Source organism: Homo sapiens, chromosome 8, assembly GCF_000001405.40.
Source record: "Homo sapiens chromosome 8, GRCh38.p14 Primary Assembly".
Classification (NCBI taxonomy): Eukaryota; Metazoa; Chordata; class Mammalia; order Primates; family Hominidae; genus Homo; species Homo sapiens.
In genome coordinates this window covers 65713446-65733006 of record NC_000008.11, presented here as the reverse complement: position 1 = coordinate 65733006, position 19561 = coordinate 65713446, and the positions used below count along the sequence as shown (strand labels likewise).

The 19561-nt window shown below is 38.6% G+C and overlaps 2 protein-coding genes across 16 annotated transcripts in view; one reads left to right on the top strand and one right to left on the bottom strand.

Annotated features, from left to right (window-relative positions):
- PDE7A (phosphodiesterase 7A) overlaps nucleotides 1–18673 on the top strand; it is a 127731-nt gene extending 109058 nt beyond the window's left edge. For all 4 annotated transcript variants that reach the window (NM_001242318.3, XM_011517540.4, XM_017013538.3 and 1 more), the window contains 6 exons: nucleotides 5706–5837; nucleotides 6041–6132; nucleotides 8086–8230; nucleotides 8656–8752; nucleotides 9386–9466; nucleotides 13512–18673. In NM_001242318.3, coding sequence (NP_001229247.1) covers nucleotides 5706–5837; nucleotides 6041–6132; nucleotides 8086–8230; nucleotides 8656–8752; nucleotides 9386–9466; nucleotides 13512–13717 — 753 coding nt within the window. In that variant the 3' untranslated portion in view covers nucleotides 13718–18673. The remainder of the gene's footprint in view (nucleotides 1–5705; nucleotides 5838–6040; nucleotides 6133–8085; nucleotides 8231–8655; nucleotides 8753–9385; nucleotides 9467–13511) is intronic.
- MTFR1 (mitochondrial fission regulator 1) overlaps nucleotides 1–19561 on the bottom strand; it is a 134710-nt gene that overhangs the window by 45592 nt on the left and 69557 nt on the right. The window contains exons 8-9 of one of the 12 annotated variants that reach the window (NM_001413076.1): nucleotides 13526–13627; nucleotides 3751–7691 (exon numbers count right to left, since the gene is read on the bottom strand). The exons of 5 other annotated variants lie outside the window; for them this stretch is intronic. In NM_001413076.1, coding sequence (NP_001400005.1) covers nucleotides 13574–13627 — 54 coding nt within the window. In that variant the 3' untranslated portion in view covers nucleotides 3751–7691; nucleotides 13526–13573. Of the gene's footprint in view, nucleotides 1–3750; nucleotides 7692–11243; nucleotides 13628–19561 lie in introns of those variants that run through there. 6 more of the 12 variants (NM_001413077.1, NM_001413073.1, NM_001413074.1 and 3 more) reach the window with 6 other exon arrangements.

Here is a 19561-nt window from a genome sequence, read left to right as displayed (position 1 = left end):
CTGGGCACGGTGACTCATGCCTGTAGTTCTGCACTTTGGGAGGCTGAGGCGGATGGCTTGCTTGAGCCCAGGAGTTTGAGACCAGCCTGGTCAACATAGCAAGACCTCATCTCTTTTATTCAAAAAAAGATAGAAAGAAAAAAAAACAGAGTCACTCAAAGTTTTAAAAATGACTTCTGAAAAATTTGAAGTAGGTCCAAGTGCGGTGGCTCATGCCTGTAATCTCAATACTTTGGGAGGCCAGGGCAAGAGGATCACTTGAAGCCAGGAGTTTGAGAACAACCTGGGCAATATAGCAAGATCCCATCTCTACAAAAAATAAAAAGTTAGATGGGCATGGTGGTGTGTACCTGTGGTCCCAGCTACTTAGGAGGCTGACTCAAAAGGATCACTTGAGCCTGGGAGGTCCAGCAGAGAGTAGTGATAGTGCCACTGCACTGCAGCCTGGGTGACAACCTATCTTTAGATAGATAGATAGATTAGATAGATGCCTGAAGATTGTATCTCTTTTACTCCTGAGCCTTTGCACAGCATCACGTTTTATACTCTTTGAGCATCTGCCACATGCCAGGCTCTATCCTGGTGCAAGGAATGTGGTGGTGAGCAGGGCAGGAATGATCCCTGTCTTCATGAAGTGTACATCCTAGTGGGGGAGGCAGTCATTAAACAAATAGATAAATAGAATTTTGATCAAAATAATATGTTAGTGGCTGGGCATGGTGGCTCACGCCTGTAATCCCAGCATTTTGGGAGGCCGAGGCTGGTGAATCACCTGAGGTCAGGAGTTTGTGACCAGCCTGGCCAACATGGTGAAACCCCGTCTCTACTAAAAATACAAAAATTAGCTGGGCATGGTGGCGGGTGCCTGTAATCCCAGCTACCTGGGAGGCTGAGACATGAGAATCCCTTGAACCTGGGAGGCAGAGGTTCCAGTGAACCGAGATCATGCCACTGCGTTCCAGCCTGGGCGACAGAGTGAAACTCAGTCTAAAATAACAACAACAACAACAACAACAACAATAATAATAATAATAATAATATAGAGAATGACCAGGTGGATGGCAAGAGTTTTACAACTTTAGATAGGGTGATCACAAGTCACTTAAGTGGACAGTACATAACTAAGGAGTCAGCCATAAGAAAGTCCAAGTACAGAGGGAATAGTAAATAGACTTAAGTATATATATTTTGTGAGAAATTTGTTTTCAGTTTTTATACCTTATAATTTATATGGAAGAGCTAATTCTTGGACTCTTGTCTATGTGGAAAAAAAAATATTTCAAGCCAAAGAAATTACTGGAAATTTTGGAGACAAACTCATCTCTCTATATATGCATTGTCACTAACTTGAGTATTTATTTTTTATGTCCTCAAGGCTGAACTCATGTGGATTATAAAGCATTTTGTTCAAGTTGAGCCCAAAGTCTCCTTGATTGATTGACACTGGTAACATTCATAGTTGTCAGCTGAAGAGATTGTGATTTTCCCTTTGTTTCCTATTTTAATGTTTAGTTTCATGTTTCTATAATGAGTTTAAATTAGCTATTTTACTTAATAACTATACTTAAACTAAGTCTGGATAAGAATTACGCTTACATGTCCCAGAGATAAACCCACTCTAGCACTGAACCTTTAAACCTTGCTCTACTTGTCCCTGGCAGTTGACAAAAGAGCCTGGCCCTGCACGTCCCTCCCTGGCCCCCGCATCCTTCCCTTTGATGTCAGCAAGACTGATGGTTGAGTTGCCTTTCTTGCAGATGTACACTTATTCATGCTCTGAGTAGATGCTAATTGCTAGTGACAAAAATATGAGTAAGATAGGAATTTTGGCCCCCAGAATCTTACTTGTAAAACATATGGGAACCTGACATGGAAACCACAGGAATGTCAGGCCTCCAGGGCAGGAATTTTTGTCTGTCTATTCCCTAATATTTACCTGTCCCCTAAAACAGCACCAGCACATGGTAGGTACTTGGTCAATATGAGCTGTTAATGAATGATATTGTATATGGGCTTTATCATTGGCTGGGTTTACTCTAACTGTTCTCTGTTTTTATGTTTTTATTTTGTTCTGTTTTGTTTTTCAGATGGAGTCTCACTCTGTCGCCCAGGCTGGAGTGCAGTGGCACAATCTTAGCTCACTGCAACCTCCACCTCCTGGGTTCAAGCGATTCTCTTGTCTCAGCCTCCCAAGTAGCTGATAGGCATGTGCCACCATGCCCAACTAATTTTTGTGTTTTTAGTAGAGATGGGGTTTTGCCATGATGGCCAGGCTAGTCTCGAACTCCTGACTTCAAGTGATCTGCCTGCCTTGGCCCTGCAAAGTGCTGGAATTACAGGCATGAGCCACCATGCCCAGCCTAGTTCTCTGTTTTTAGACCTCTAGAGCAGTGGCCGCCAACCTTTTTGGCATCAGGGACCAGTTTCACGGAAGACAATATTTCCTTGGATGGGGAGGGGGATGGTTTCAGGATGAAACTGTTACACTTCAGATCATCAGGCATTAGATTCTTATAAGAAGTGTGCTGGCTGGGCTTGGTGGCTCACACCTGTAATCCCAGCACTTTGGGAGGCTGAGGCAGGTGGATCACCTGAGGTTGGGAGTTCGAGACCAGCCTGACCAACATGGAGAAACCCTGTCTCTACTAAAAATACAAAATTAGCTGGTTGTGGTGGCGCATGCCTGTAATACCAGCTACTTGGGAGGCTGAGGCAGAAGAATCACTTAAACCCGGGAGGTGGAGGTTTCGGTGAGCCGTGATTGCGCCATTACTCTGCAGCCTGGGCAACAAGAGCGAAACTCCATCTCAAAAAAAAAAAAAAAAAAAAAAAAAAGAAGTGCGCAACCTGGATCCCTCACATGCACAGTTTACAATAGGGTTTGTGCTCCTATGAGAAGCTACTGCTTCCAAGGCAGAGCTCAGGCAATAATGCTCACTGGCTGGCAGCTCACCTCCTGCTGTGCACCTGGTTCCTCTCAGGTTCCTAACAGGCCATGGACCAGTACCGGTCCATGGCCTGGGGATTGAGGAGCCCTGCGAGGACCGCCTTGTCCTTTTGCCTTCTGTGTGTGGGAGGTTCATTTCTTTCAGTAATTTCTCAGGATGGACATAATGTGTCAAGAATCTGTCTTCACTAGGCAGGGCATGGTGGCTTATGCCTGTGATTCCAGCACTTTGGGAGGCCAAGGCAGGCGGATCACCTGAGATTAGGAATTCGAGACCAGCCTGGCCAACATGGTGAAACCCCATCTCTATAAAAGTACCAAAAAAAAAAAAAAGTCAGGCATGGTGGTAGGCGCCTATAATCCCAGCTGCTCAGGAGCCTGAGTAAGAGAATCGATTGAACCTGGGAGGCAGAGGCTGCAGTGAGCCGAGATCGCACCACTGCACTCCAGGCTGGGCATCAGCAAGACTCTGTCACAAAAAAATAGAATCTGTTTTCAGAGGTAGCATCATTAGGAAAAATAAAAATACAATACTGATTCAGGACATTTTATGTCACTAAACTGCTCTCCTCCATGATAGTGCCACCTCCTCTTTACCCTCAGCAAGCCACCAGTATCTCAGGTACCTTCTTTCTGCTATTTCTACTATATTTTTGATTTGCCAATTTAGCCAAAAAAAAAAAAAAAAAAAAAAAGCTACCACCAACGAAACTCACTGTGATAACCATTACAATGGGAAATGATAAGGGCTGGCAGGCAGTGAAAACAGTAAGCTTTTCACTGAACACAGCAAAACTCACCACTTAATAGTTTTCTATTTTATTGAAAAAGAACCCTAATGATGGCTTTGCAGATACAAGTAAAAGCTGACCTTCACATATGTTAAATAATCTGTAGTTTCTTTTTTGACATTTCTTTGTTGTCAGCTCTTAACAGATGTAATCACAGAATGGAAATAACATCTGTCTTTTAATCCACCTTAAAAAGTTAAGTTATTGAAGTCCTTGTCTTTGTTATAATATTGAAAATTTTGTTTCTGATGAAAGGTTTTTTTTTACAAGCAGAAATGTTACATTTTTATATCAAATATTTTTTTGCATGTGTGATTTGTTTTTAAAGTTACTTTCTCTTCACAGAATTTTTGAGAATTCAGTTGCTTATTGTCATGTTCCTATTTTTAATGGTTAACTCTTTAATATACCTGAGAATGTTTTGATGTCATGTGCAGTCATACATTAATTTTTTAAATCAGTCTAATTTTGGATTATTGTATTCTCCCAGGATGTCTATTCTTCTGCCAATAAGAATGTAACCCCTTTGCATACTGCCTAATAAATTACATGTTCATAAGACATAGACACCCATGCCCATTCATGTATATGTCAAGGAGGGGAGATTGCTTTATATGCAGTATGCTTTATATCCTATGCATTCTGTTCATCTTGATTAGTAAGCAGCGCTTTAGAATGCTTTATTTTTTCAATGCTTTTGTATATCCTAAAGAGGAAATAATTTTCTTCATCTTCTCCTATTCATTGACCTTCTCCGTGTACTAATTATATGCGATACAAAAATAAATAATATGCATCTCTGCTTCCAGGTAGCTTACAGTTTTCCAGGAGATTCAAGCCCTCAGACAGTGATTTCTCTGACTGAGATGAACTTAACACAGGGAGTAGAAAGAGATGATTGATTCGTTCTAGCAGAGAAAGAAAACAATAGAATTTGAATCTAAAATTATTTTTATCTCATTTTTAAAATTTTCAGTTTTTATCTTTGTTGTATAACATATAAATGTTAGTTCAGTATAATAATCCATAAGTACATATACTTAATATAAGTGGTGTATGCTCAAAAATTTTCACTGTTAGAGCACAGGATCATTACAGTTTAGTCAGCACTGTCCTAACGTAAACCTAAATAATACCATGCTCTGATGAGTGGTATTGTGGCAGGTCATGAGGTGCTGTGGGAACACAAATCTGGCCAAGTTTGCCAGAAAATGAGAGGCATTTCATGAAAAGCAGATGATATAGTCAAGGTGATCTTTTTTATCATTGAACATTTGTCAGCTAATCATAAACTTTTATTTATTGTGATTATTAAATAAGTTTGGTAATGATTATTGAGAGTAAAGTTACAATTTCTGGTGTGCAAGATTGCTTTCCCTGACATGAATACATTGTATCATTGTTATGAATGTAGCCATCCGTTAGGGGAGGATTTTATCACAGACTTGACATAGACTTCCACTTAACATGATTACTCAGTAGCCTCCTTAAACATCAGGACTAAAGGAATAACCTTACATCTTAGATTACATTATTGAAATCCAATAACCAATTTGTTGATAAATAAACACCCTTAAAATTTTAGATCTTTTGTTCAGTAATGGCTACAGTAATAAAAATGTGCCAAACTATGTTTGTCATTTTAAAGCCATTATTTCTCAAAAAGAACGGTTTATGTTTTAGCTGCCATTTTAATTAAGCTTGTTAAAAATGAAATGGCCTAAGGATGAACTCTGTAAACTCCACATGGGCAGGGCCACTGTTGTATCATGGCTTTGCCAGTGTGGTGATGAGATCAGGACCTGGCAGATGTGCTTGGTGAACCTAATGAACAACCACCTGAGGAATGACGTGAAGGGGGAGGAGATTACCACCACTACCATTGGCTGCTAATTCAAAACTACTGTGATGGCGTAGAGCTTATTTTAGATATATCTGTGATTCATTATTCTTTTGTCACACTTCAGCTTGCCAATTCTGTAACTCCTTGGGATATCTTGCTGAGCTTAATTGCAGCTGCCACTCATGATCTGGATCATCCAGGTGTTAATCAACCTTTCCTTATTAAAACTAACCATTACTTGGCAACTTTATACAAGGTTAGTGCAATTTTATCATCAAGATTTATTATTTTTGCATTCTAGAAAATCTTTCATATTTTGAAGAAATGAAAGTAATGAAAATAAATTCTCAATGAATGTTAGAATTTTAACCAGATTAATATTGCTAACAGTATTGTTAGTAATGATATGTCCAGAAAGAGACGTATCATTAAGTAACTCAGAAACGTCCTTTGTTGTAGAATACCTCAGTACTGGAAAATCACCACTGGAGATCTGCAGTGGGCTTATTGAGAGAATCAGGCTTATTCTCACATCTGCCATTAGAAAGCAGGTAGGTTGGATTAAGACAAATTTAATTTGTTACTGGTTATAGAAGTTAAGTTGGCAAAGTAATTTTATAAAGTTTTAAAAATTGTTATGTTCAGGTGTTCCACAGTTTTCAGTGTTTGTCAAATTTAATAAATTATATACAATTTTAGTAATTTAGAGCTATCCTACTATATAGTCGGTAACATTTTAATGGATAGTTATTTTTATCAAAGACTATTCCATGGGTTTGAATACTATAAAATTTACTCAAATACACAATTGCTCAGCCATAGTTTACTACTTATTTACATAAATAGATATTACACATTTCCATACTCAGCTGAATAAAACCTTAAGGTCTAGGTATAAAGGTAAATTGGATGGAATGTAAACATTCTATTACATTAAATAGATTCATTAAAATCTGTTCCCAGAAGTTTTCAAAACTGACAAGAAAGTAAAGAGAGTGCCTTATGTCCTCAATAGCATAATCCTGGAGTCACACTTCTAGAGCTATAGGATATAATAATGAATGGAAAAAACCCTAATATTTTAGGAAAAAAAAATAAATGGGCTATTTTAGAACCTAATAAAAAACATTAATGTGAATAAGGCTAACACGATGGTGATGGTTTATAAAATCTCACGTCATTGCCATAGTGTGGTCCACACACAAGCTTTTTAGTAATGTTGCACTGAGGGAAAATGCACGTCAGCAAACCATGAAAGTGGATTGAAACCATCCACTTCAAGAAAAGTGGTGAGGTATAAAAATATGTTTGAGTATTAAAATTTAAGTTCCACTTGCTGTTCTCTGGTTTCCCTTTCATAATTTAAAACAACTGTATAAAAAACTGTTTTGTGTAATGACCATGAGAAAAAAGCTGGACTTTATTTTTTATTTTTTTAAATCTTTATTCACGGATACCATTTGGAGTATGACAATACTTCTGGTAAGTAAAATCATTTTTTGCTGTAGTACAAATACGAAAATTGCTTAAACACACTGTATATGTAAATTATGGGTTCTTAAAATTAAGACAGATTAAAATGTTTGCTTCATTATTCCCTTTTTAAAAATCATGTTTTTCATTTGATGATTAACCCTGTTGAGTTCTCAGATTTAATAAAAATGGAAATAAGGAATACTACCTAATAGCATTATTTAATGTTTTCTTCATTTAGGGTTTGTTTTAACATTCAATATTGTGAGTCTTTTTATCTATTTGACAGCTCTTTACTGATCATTATACAGAGATAGTATTTGCTATGGCCCATTAAAACAAAAGGCAAGAATTTTTTTTAAGTATGTTTATCTTGTTAATTGATCTGAGGCAGTTTTATAAATGATGTATGTATTTGCTGTTTATATTAACATGTTACCTTTTTCCTTTCAGAAAAGTTGGATATTCATTTACAGATAACTGATTGGTTCTTGAGTTTAACCTTGAAAACACAGTTATTAAGTTGCTCAGGGGAATTGCAACAGGCATCTTAGTCAGAATGTCTGTAGGAGTCAGCTGTTGAATGGGCCATTATTCTTTCTATTTGAATCTTCCTTCTGCCTTCAGATCTCAGGCACTAAAAAGCAAACCAAAGTTGTTTACCCTCAGCATGAGAATTTTCCAGCAAAAGAATCCCAGCAAGGAACTTTCTCAAAAAACAACCAATGTTACATTGATTTTTTTTTTAAAGCAAATAATACCACCTTGGCTGGCAAAATAAAGGCTCTCCTTTTGGAATGTTTGCATATTGGTATTTTCCTACAAACTCTTGGTTTTAGTTTTGGTTATTTTAATGGCTTTTTTTGAAGCATTCTATAAAACTCATTTTTTGTGTGATAAATTTTAAATTGAATGATAGTTGGATATTTTAGGGTTCTATAAAGCCTTCCGATTATTATGGTTAAGAAAAAAAATCAATAAATAGTTAATTGAAAGTCTTATATTTTCTCTTTATATTTCTCTATTTCCAGGCAACAAATGGAGACACAGATAGGTGCTCTGATACTAGCCACAGACATCAGTCGCCAGAATGAGTATCTGTCTTTGTTTAGGTCCCATTTGGATAGAGGTGATTTATGCCTAGAAGACACCAGACACAGACATTTGGTTTTACAGGTAAAATGGGGCTTGGAAACATTCTATTTCTAGGATAAATTATGTGACTGTCAAACTAAAAAATGAATATTCTAGTGTAGTTTTTCAGAATGGTTAAATCTTGAGGGCAAGCTAAAGAATTTCCTTCAATTAGCGCACACTCCTTCCAAAAGGAGATCACTGGTGAATCTGCTACCTAGGAAGGCATCATTGCTTACGTGTTTTTCATACTCAAGATTTCTGATGAAAACAATTTTTACAAGATTAGGGTACCAATTAAGAAATAGCATTTTATTCTCATAAATTCTTACATCTAAAAATAGGAGAATTATATTTCTGGCTTATTTATTTATATTTATGGTTAATCCAGTCCTTGCACTTGGTTCTTTGGTATTATTGTCAAGTGTGTATATATCTTAAAACAATATTAATGTTTTGTTTGCTAGATGGCTTTGAAATGTGCTGATATTTGTAACCCATGTCGGACGTGGGAATTAAGCAAGCAGTGGAGTGAAAAAGTAACGGAGGAATTCTTCCATCAAGGCAAGTTACAGTATTGAGTGATAATTAATCTATCCAGTTCATTTTTTTTTAACATCGTAAGAATAAAATAACTCAATAATTTATATGGGTCTAGCAGTAGAGTCTTGACATTTTTAGTAACAATTCACAATAGATATACATCTAATCAATACAAATTGAGCATCTGTTTTGAAAATTAGAAGTCCTCTTTTGGAATGATCAGATGTATTTATGCATTTATGAGTATAGATAGATTAGGTTTGGAATTTTGCTGTACAGAAAGATTTCCCTGAACTTGCTTTATCCTTGTCGTGTGTGGAGGGCCATATGAACATGTAAAACTTTTGTGTGTGTAATTTAAAACCCGGATCCAGGAATCTTTATTTCATGAACCTTCCTTTCAGGTTGTATATTAATGTGTTATAAATTACAGTCTTGGGGTAACACCTTGCATTTAAATAAAAATATCAGCTTGGCAATCTCTTCTATGTGTAAATAACTTAAAATTTTAAAAAGAACTAATTGCGAAGCTGTCCTCTCATGAGGATTAAGTATGTTTTTCCTAAGAAATGCACAGGTATGTTCAAGCCTTTAATTATATATTTAACCAATAGATATTCTTCATATTAATACTTCTCTTTTTTTAATTTATAGGAGATATAGAAAAAAAATATCATTTGGGTGTGAGTCCACTTTGCGATCGTCACACTGAATCTATTGCCAACATCCAGATTGGTAACTATACATATTTAGATATAGCTGGTTAGAAAAATGCCACTGTTTTTATCAAGAAGGGAAATATATTTGAAATATAAAATATTAAAATTATGCTCATTTCTATTTTTAAAAATAATTTAAGAAATTTTACCCTTGTTTTCCCTTGTTATGGCTCTTCTAATTCTCATTTAATTTTAGGATGTAAAAAGTATATTTTTGCAGAACAGGCAGCAGCAATAACTTGTTTCTGTTCTTATGTAAATAAGAATCCATTATTCGCTCATGTGGAAGCTTCTTTTGCATCATTTGGGACTGCCATTTAAAAAAGGATAGGTAAACAAAGAAATGACAAAAATAAAATAAATAAAATAAAAATGGATAGGTGGTGACCCACTGAGCCTGATCATAATACGAAGACCAGCTTCTGCCACTGCCTTTCCAGACTCTTACCACTGCCTGTTGATTAAATCTAACTCTTCAACATCCTAGACAGGCCCTTATAATCTTGCTTCAAATGCTGTGCAGCCATCTTGCCTCAACTTCCCTCTCATTTGCCTACAGCATCTCGGGACGCTTCTGTGTTTCCCAAGTATACGCTGTTCTTTCGCTCTTTGTGCCTCGCCAGTGCTTTCCATGTGCCTCGTAGAGTTATTTTTCTTGAAGAGGCAGCTCAAATGTCACCTTCTCCAGAAGCTGCTCTCCACTTGCTTTAGGCAGAGTCAGTCACTTTTCTTCTAGATTCCAAAGTGCCTGATCCACTTGGTTGTGGATTCCTGGAGCCTAGCACCACACCAGAAGCACGAGGCCCTTGAGAACTGTGTGTTGAGTGAACTAATAACTGTATTATAGAAAGCATAATGAAAATGTCCTGTGACTGAAGTATGTGTAGCTTGTTGCAGGAGTTCACAGGAAAGTTGACTAGGATTGAGTGTGTTGGGCTTTGGGTATAAAGGAGGGGGATTCTACGGGGGCAGTAGCTCAACAAGGAATAGAGGGAGGAGTGTAATTTTGGTAGCTGGTGTTGAATAGGGCCTTTGAGAATCAGACTGAACACAGTGAAATATGTGCCCAAAGTTCAGAAAGATGAAGTTTCCAGAAACTAAGAAGGTAGCACAATATGTGGCATCATACTCAGAAAGGAAGACCATGCCATGGGGCCAGAAATTCAGAAACGTAATTCTTACATTGTGATTGCAATGGATACTCATGGAAGAAAGTGGGTAGTGGCCGATTTGACTTCAGAGTGACAGGTAGAGAAGGGAAGAGCGTGTAGAACTGTGGCCAGACTTTAGGAGTGTGAGGGATGCTGAATCTCCCAGAGAGCTCACACTGGCCAGGAATGCTGAGAGTAGCAGATGCTTTTCTTTTGGGAGGATAGTAAAACAATTTAGAACCAGATATGCTTTGTCTTGATTCTCAAGTAGAATAATCTTCAAATGCAAAAGAATACATTAGAAATGGACAAAAGTGGCCAGGAGCGGTAGCTCATACTTGTAACCCAGCACTTTGGGAAGCCGAGGCGGGCTGATCGCTTGAGGTCAGGAGTTCGAGACCAGCCTGGCCAAAATAGTGAAACTCACGTTTCTACTAAAAATACAAAAATTAGCTGGGTGTGATGGCCACTTGGGAGGCTGAGATAGGAGAATCGCTTGAACCTGGGAGGCAGAGGTTGCAGTGAGCCAATATCGTGCCACTGCATTCCAGCCTGGGTGACAGAATGAAACTCCATCACTCCATCTCAAAAAAAAAAAAAAAAAAAAATGGACAAAAGAGAATTGAATCGAAGACAGGTGAATCGGTAGTCAACTCAGTTACTTTTAATATTAAATGTCTTTTTATCCTAGTAAACTACTCCCTTGCTTAATGGGAGAACTTGCAAATGAGATTTAAAACATTGTAATTTTTATAAGGTAACAGAAGCTAGATCCCTTTCACTGTTCATCTCAAGCTATTGATCTTGTCAGTGTTGTACAGATCTAGAATGGGTTGTCAGGGATAAGGTCACTGATCTGATGGTGATTGTTGACATCTGCTGACTCCACACAACAACCCTAGGGGACCGGTGCTTTGAGCATCCTTATTTTCAGATGGTTTGCCCACTTCATGCAGTTAACAGCTGTTGGTGTTGGGCTTCAAATCCAGGTCTTTCGGACATCAAATCCCAGCCTCTTAACAACTCACCAAGCAGTGATTACTACTCCCCAACATAGGGGCAGTATGTACAAGTCATGTTGAACTAATACAGTTTCTTTCTTTGATAGGAATACTAATTTTGTTGAACAAGAAAATATGTACTGGATAAGAGTAAGGCATTTGACAAGGCGTCCTGTGAAATCTGTGAAGATAAAGTAGAGGCTTGTGGGGCTAGTACAATTAAATGGAGTCACAAATGGTTGAACAGCTGTGTTCGAGGTACTAATTAACAGAGTCCTGCCCTCCAAGAGAGAGGCTGGTCCATGGCTCTGGTCTGTTCATTTTTATCAGGTATTTAAAACCTAAAAGAAATTTTAGGTTAACGTAGAGCCAGAAGTGATAGCTAATTTGTTGGCTGTTGGAGGTAAGATCCCCAAGGATCTCAACCAGTTGGAACAGTGAGAGGGATGAAATAAGATGAATGGTATGAAACCTATAATAATAAGGGCCATGTGGGTAGATAACTCCAGTGGCTTATGACTTTATGGCACGTAGGAAAGACAGGGCTTTGGGTGGCTGGCTCAACATAACACTGTAGTGTGAAGATGGCTGCCAGAAAGCCGCTGTGTGCTTTGACTATAATGACACTTTTCTATGTTTGTTATCTCTTTCTCCTCACCAGAACATAAGCTCCTTGAGGGCAGGGATCTTGTCTGTCTTATTCACTGCTGTATACCCAGCCACCGTGGCATAGTGCCGGGGACATAGTAGGTTCTCAGTAAATACGTGTGGAGGGAATGGATCAATGAAAGAAAGAAAGCCTTATTGCACATATTGTACATAATTAATATTTCAGATACCATAATTATATACACTTAAAAAATTCAGCCATCAGACCATATATAACTTTCCTGATTAAAAGTAGTGGATGCTGGTTGCTTTAATTCTGGTGAGATTCTTATGTTGGATAAATGGAACCTATGTTGTCTGTGGTCCACATGGTCTTTTGCTGCAACGAGAGTCTTGGATATGAAGAAAATTTTAAAGCGTGATAGAATCAGAATGTATATTTTCCCCATTCTTAACAGATCAAAATGTGATAAAGATGTTATTTGTTCCCAATATATAATATGATTTGATTGATAGCTATTTTCTAGAGGGCTTCTTTTGACCTTGTTTAAGATACTACTTAGTATTAAGTCAGATCTAATGTGCAGTGGAGTGCTATATAACCTAAAGATGCAACAATCCTGAAATCACTCATTTTCCTTTTCTGACTGAATTAAGGGAGATTATATGAATTGTTTATAAAATAGGTCTCTGGTACACATTTGTTGTTCACTTTAATGATTTTTTCACTAACCCCACCTGTTATTTTTAGACTGACTCTTATCATAAGTTTTGCCTTTATAAATTCTGAGTTAAATAAAATGACCAATTGTAGTCATGACCAGGCATGAAGATTCCATCCCTGAGGGGTAAAGCAGTAGACTACTGCCAGCTCCACTTCAGTTCAGGCCACATCACCCTCAGTCCTGAAGGAGACCCCTTCTTAGCCTCCAGTTGTTGCACTGCAACTCTGCCTCGAATTGGGCTATGCCCGAGTATCCTCAGAGTTTAGATGGGCAGTGTATTTTTGCTTAAGTAGAAGAATGTAGTTGTGCCACTGAGAAGGATAACCAGAAAAGGTTAGATATATTTGTCAGTTCACTTTTACTCAAATTTCCATTGAGTTACTTAAGAAATCAGTTCTTCAAAGTGGATATGTACATTACAGACTCTGTCACCTACACATACACAGGAATCTTTTGAAGAATAAGATCTGGGTAATACTGGAGTAGGATGTAGGAAGGTTAATGTTGTATAGATGATGTTTTAAAGATAGAGTTTCAGCATATATGTTAATAACTTTTTCTCCTATTTTCTCAAGGTTTTATGACTTACCTAGTGGAGCCTTTATTTACAGAATGGGCCAGGTTTTCCAATACAAGGCTATCCCAGACAATGCTTGGACACGTGGGGCTGAATAAAGCCAGCTGGAAGGGACTGCAGAGAGAACAGTCGAGCAGTGAGGACACTGATGCTGCATTTGAGTTGAACTCACAGTTATTACCTCAGGAAAATCGGTTATCATAACCCCCAGAACCAGTGGGACAAACTGCCTCCTGGAGGTTTTTAGAAATGTGAAATGGGGTCTTGAGGTGAGAGAACTTAACTCTTGACTGCCAAGGTTTCCAAGTGAGTGATGCCAGCCAGCATTATTTATTTCCAAGATTTCCTCTGTTGGATCATTTGAACCCACTTGTTAATTGCAAGACCCGAACATACAGCAATATGAATTTGGCTTTCATGTGAAACCTTGAATATGCAAAGCCCAGCAGGAGAGAATCCGAAAGGAGTAACAAAGGAAGTTTTGATATGTGCCACGACTTTTTCAAAGCATCTAATCTTCAAAACGTGAAACTTGAATTGTTCAGCAACAATCTCTTGGAATTTAACCAGTCTGATGCAACAATGTGTATCTTGTACCTTCCACTAAGTTCTCTCTGAGAAAATGGAAATGTGAAGTGCCCAGCCTCTGCTGCCTCTGGCAAGACAATGTTTACAAATCAACTCTGAAAATATTGGTTCTAAATTGCCTTGGAGCATGATTGTGAAGGAACCACTCAAACAAATTTAAAGATCAAACTTTAGACTGCAGCTCTTTCCCCCTGGTTTGCCTTTTTCTTCTTTGGATGCCACCAAAGCCTCCCATTTGCTATAGTTTTATTTCATGCACTGGAAACTGAGCATTTATCGTAGAGTACCGCCAAGCTTTCACTCCAGTGCCGTTTGGCAATGCAATTTTTTTTAGCAATTAGTTTTTAATTTGGGGTGGGAGGGGAAGAACACCAATGTCCTAGCTGTATTATGATTCTGCAGTGAAGACATTGCATGTTGTTTTCACTACTGTACACTTGACCTGCACATGCGAGAAAAAGGTGGAATGTTTAAAACACCATAATCAGCTCAGGGTATTTGCCAATCTGAAATAAAAGTGGGATGGGAGAGTGTGTCCTTCAGATCAAGGGTACTAAAGTCCCTTTCGCTGCAGTGAGTGAGAGGTATGTTGTGTGTGAATGTACGGATGTGTGTTTGCGTGCATGTTTGTGCATGTGTGACTGTGCATGTTATGTTTCTCCATGTGGGCAAAGATTTGAAATGTAAGCTTTTATTTATTATTTTAGAATGTGACATAATGAGCAGCCACACTCGGGGGAGGGGAAGGTTGGTAGGTAAGCTGTAACAGATTGCTCCAGTTGCCTTAAACTATGCACATAGCTAAGTGACCAAACTTCTTGTTTTGATTTGAAAAAAGTGCATTGTTTTCTTGTCCCTCCCTTTGATGAAACGTTACCCTTTGACGGGCCTTTTGATGTGAACAGATGTTTTCTAGGACAAACTATAAGGACTAATTTTAAACTTCAAACATTCCACTTTTGTAATTTGTTTTAAATTGTTTTATGTATAGTAAGCACAACTGTAATCTAGTTTTAAGAGAAACCGGTGCTTTCTTTTAGTTCATTTGTATTTCCCTTGTTACTGTAAAAGACTGTTTATTAATTGTTTACAGTTTGTTGCAACAGCCATTTTCTTGGGAGAAAGCTTGAGTGTAAAGCCATTTGTAAAAGGCTTTGCCATACTCATTTTAATATGTGCCTGTTGCTGTTAACTTTTGATGAATAAAAACCTATCTTTTCATATTTTTATCTTTGACATTTACCTTATAACTCAATCTTTTGGAAAACACAATGCTAAATTACAAGGAAATCAAAGTTAGCTTCTTGGCTCTTGTAATTCATCCCTCAGATGTTTACTCAGTCCGAGCTTATCTACTAATGACTCACCTTGCAAGTGAGTAAGCAGAAGCCCAGTTAGGGCTGTTGGAGTCCTGACTAACACAGGGGAGAGGTCAGCTTTGAGCCAGGCCTTTTGTTCCTACAGTGGTGAACTGCATAAGACATCAGCAAGTCTTGCAAGTACTAAAATACTAGTTGTATTTATTTCTATCAATCATTGGCCTTTTTAAAGTGATAAGAAAAGGCCACTCCACTCTACTTGATTGATATCAGTTGTAAACAAGGTACCACTGTGCCATTCCCTATATCTTCCCAGGTCCAACTCATTAGAAGGGATATGGTGCAAACTTCTAAATCAAACACATTAACATATTATTTGTACAGAAGAGTGTTGATGTCCAATAGAAACAGAATCCAAGCCACATAATTTTCGGTTTTCTAGTAGCCACATTTAGAAAACATGGAATTAATTTTAGTAACATCTATTCCAATACGTCCAAAATATTGTATCACTTTAAAATGTCAATATAAAAACAATTAGATGTTTTTACATTCTTTTGGGGGGTACTAAGTCTTTGAAATCCAGTGTATATTGTGTACTTACAGCACATCTCAATTTGGACTAGTCATATCTCAGGCACCCAATATCCACATGTGGCTAGTGGCTACCATATTGGACAGTGTGGGTATAGAGGTCTGAGGGTAGTAGAGGAATATGGTCAGCTGGTCACTCTCGTGAGATGGCCATACCTTGGCCTATATTTAATGTGTACAGAAAGTCTGATAACTCAGATCCTTAAAAATTCAGGCCCACTGTTTCAGTACATAGAGAGTGGAACTATCATGGCAAACCCACATTAACCAAGCTCACAGTAACTATTTTTTTAAAACACTATCAATATTTTAATTTACAGTGAGAAATGTAACTATCAATTATTCTCTCCCTTTAGGCAAATCTTCCTGGGAAGCCAAATTATGAGCAGCTGGTGAGCATGGATTCTGAGCAAGGGAAGCAAGTTGCCTCGTGCACCCATGTCCCTTTGGGTGCACAGAAGACCCATGTCTTCTGTGATATTCATGTTTGTGGACCAGGGTACCCTCTTCCCCTGGAAGGTGCTAGAGATTCTCTGCCAGTAGTTGCTTCTCTACATCAGCTTCTGATTGGCACATGCATTAAATAACGTCATTACCTCAAGCCTTGTTTCAGTTGAGCTTACCTGGGCTCCATTCTGCCTGTATACATGATTGCTTCTGCTCTGATCCATTGTTTCTCTTATAGTTTGAAACTGAAAAGATCATCCTATTTCCACATTCTCAGGGGAACTGTGGGTGTGGCTCCCATTTCCTGCCTACACATATAATAAACCCATTGAAAAGTTGTTTTATTATGTATATGTGGGAATCACCTTCTATAGCCCTTTTGTTTTTTTTTTTTTTTGAGACAGGGTCTCGCTGCTAACTAGGCTGGAGTGCAGTGGCATGATCACTGCAGCCTCCACCTCCTAGGCTCAAGCAATCCTCCCACCTCAGCCTCCTGAGTGCCACCACACCACCCAGCTAATTTTTTTTTTTTTTTTTTTTTTTTTTTTTGAGACAGAGCCTTGCTCTGTCGCCCAGGCTGGAGTGCAGTGCCGCGATATTGGCTCACTGCAAGTTCCGCCTCCCGGGTTCACGCCATTCTCCTCATTCTCCTGCCTCAGTCTCCCAGGTCGCTGGGACTACAGGCGCCCGCCACCAGGCCCTGCTAATTTTTTTGTACTTTATTAGTAGAGTTAGGGTTTCACCATGTTAGCCAGGATGGTCTCAATCTCCTGACCTCGTGATCCGCCCGCCTCGGCCTCCCATAGTGCTGGGATTACAGGCGTGAGCCACCGTGCCCGGCCAGCTAATTTTTTAAGAACATTTTTGTGGCCGGGCATGGTGGCTCACACCTGTAATCCCAGCACTTTGGGAGGCTGAGGTGGGTGGATCACCTGAGGTCGGGAGTTCGAGACCAGTCTGGCCAACATGGTGAAACCCCATCTCTACTAAAAATGCAAAAATTAGCTGGGCGTGGTGGCGCATTCCTGTAATCCCAGCTACTCGGGAGGCTGAGGCGGAAGAATTGCTTGAACCCAGGTGGCGGAGGTTGCAAGGAGCAGAGATTGTGCTACTGCACTCCAGCCTAGGTGACAGAGCAAGACTCTGTCTCAAAAAAAAAAAAAAAACTTTTTTATAGAGACAGGGTCTCTCTTTGTTGGCTTGGCTGGTCTTGAACTCTTGGGCTCAAGCAGTCCTGCCACCGTGGCCTCTCAAAGTGCTGGGATTACAGGTGTGAGACACTGCATCAGGCCTATAGCTCCACTTAAATACGACCTATATTACTGGAATATTTTTTTCTAAAAAATTTTAGGAAACAGTTAAATATTTAAAAGATTACTTTTTTAAAAAGCAAGTAAATATTACAGAACAGAATGCAAAATTTATTTTACATGGGAGACTAAAAATTTTCACACACATGGCCACCCTTTGGGCCTCTTGGCTCAACATTTCAGGGGCTGAGGGAGTCTCTGCTCTAGGAGTAAAAGGTCCTTGGAGAGAAAATTTTGACAAGTCCTAACTTTAAAAAAGAAAAATTGGTTCCTGGTCAATATTTGTACTCACTGTAAATGTGATGGTTGGTAATGATACTCTGTATAAAAGTAAAAATCATATTTTATGTCCTTTGCAAACAAATATATTTGTACCTGAGGTACAGATTAGAGGTGCTAGTAATTCCTTGAAGATTCTGAAAATGATCTTTTTTTCCAAAATGCTTTCTTGGTTTTTATTAAACTTTCTATTTTCTTAAAACTCTCACATCAGGTATTTCCAGTGTTTTCAAGCATGTATAAATATTTTAATGTATAAATGTTGTTTAAAATCCCCTCAATCGGTATCTCCTGATTGAGAAAATACACAGTGACCAATAGCTAATAGGAATTCAGTATTGCTTTCAAAGAAATGTGCATATTAATCACTGTAGCATCTGCATACATTTGAAACACGGAGTAATACAGGTCTGTGCAAGAATTAGCAGCTTGTTCCTTGCTAATAATGACTTGTGTCATCTGGAAGGCCCCCAAGAGCCCATGGTCTACAGGTGGAATGACCACCACTTGGGAGTGAGCTGATGGAGAGCACCCAGCAGGTCTCCTCCATCTTCCTGGTTCCTGTGCTCACCATAGGGCTGGTGTACATTGGGCCATTAATAAACGTTTGTTGAACAAATTAATTTGGAATTAATGTGTTCCCTTTTTAGCTATCGATTTATTACTAAGAGATTATATTGAAACTCTTCCGTCTATACTGGAGTCATGTGGTAAGCAGTATCCAAGTTTCTGTTGTGTGCAGAAGATGGCACTAGATATATAATAAAGGGGGGCATTAAAAATTACAAACCTTGGTTTCTGTTCTCAACATGTCTGGGTGACAGAATAATAAGTGCAACATGTTATATAATATGGCGGGTTTCTGTATGGTATCAGTAGTGTTGGGTTGTTTAGGAGAATGTAGGGTTTTGTTCGGGTAATGATAAAAATGACACCATATCTAGTAATTCTTGTATTTTTAAAATTGTTGGCTGGGTGTGGTGGCTCACATCCATAATCCCAGCTCTTTGGGAGGCTGAGGCGGACAGATCACCTCACGTCAGGAGTTCGAGACCAACCTGGCCAACATGGCGAAACCCCATCTCTACTAAAAAAAAATACAAAAATTAGCCAGGCATAGTGGTGTGCGCCTGTAATCCCAGCTACTGGAGAGGCAGAGGCAGGAGAATCACTTGAACCCAAGAGGCAGAGGTTACAATGAGCTGACATTGTGCCACTGCACTCCAGCCTGGGCAACAGAGTAAGACTGTTTCAAAAAATAGTTAACATCTATGACCGATAAAGTTACTTAGCCTTCAAATTTGATTCTAAAATAGTTTTAAATGTTCAATATGCTACTTTAGGTAAAATACTTTCATCAATTACATATTTTAGTCTTATACCTACATGTCCTAACTTGTCCTGAAACCCACCTTAAAGTCTGATAGGATGGTGGGGGAAAGAGAGAAACACATTTTTGTTTTTGTTTTGTTTGTGTGTGTGTGTGTGTGTGTGTGTGTGTGTGTGTGTGT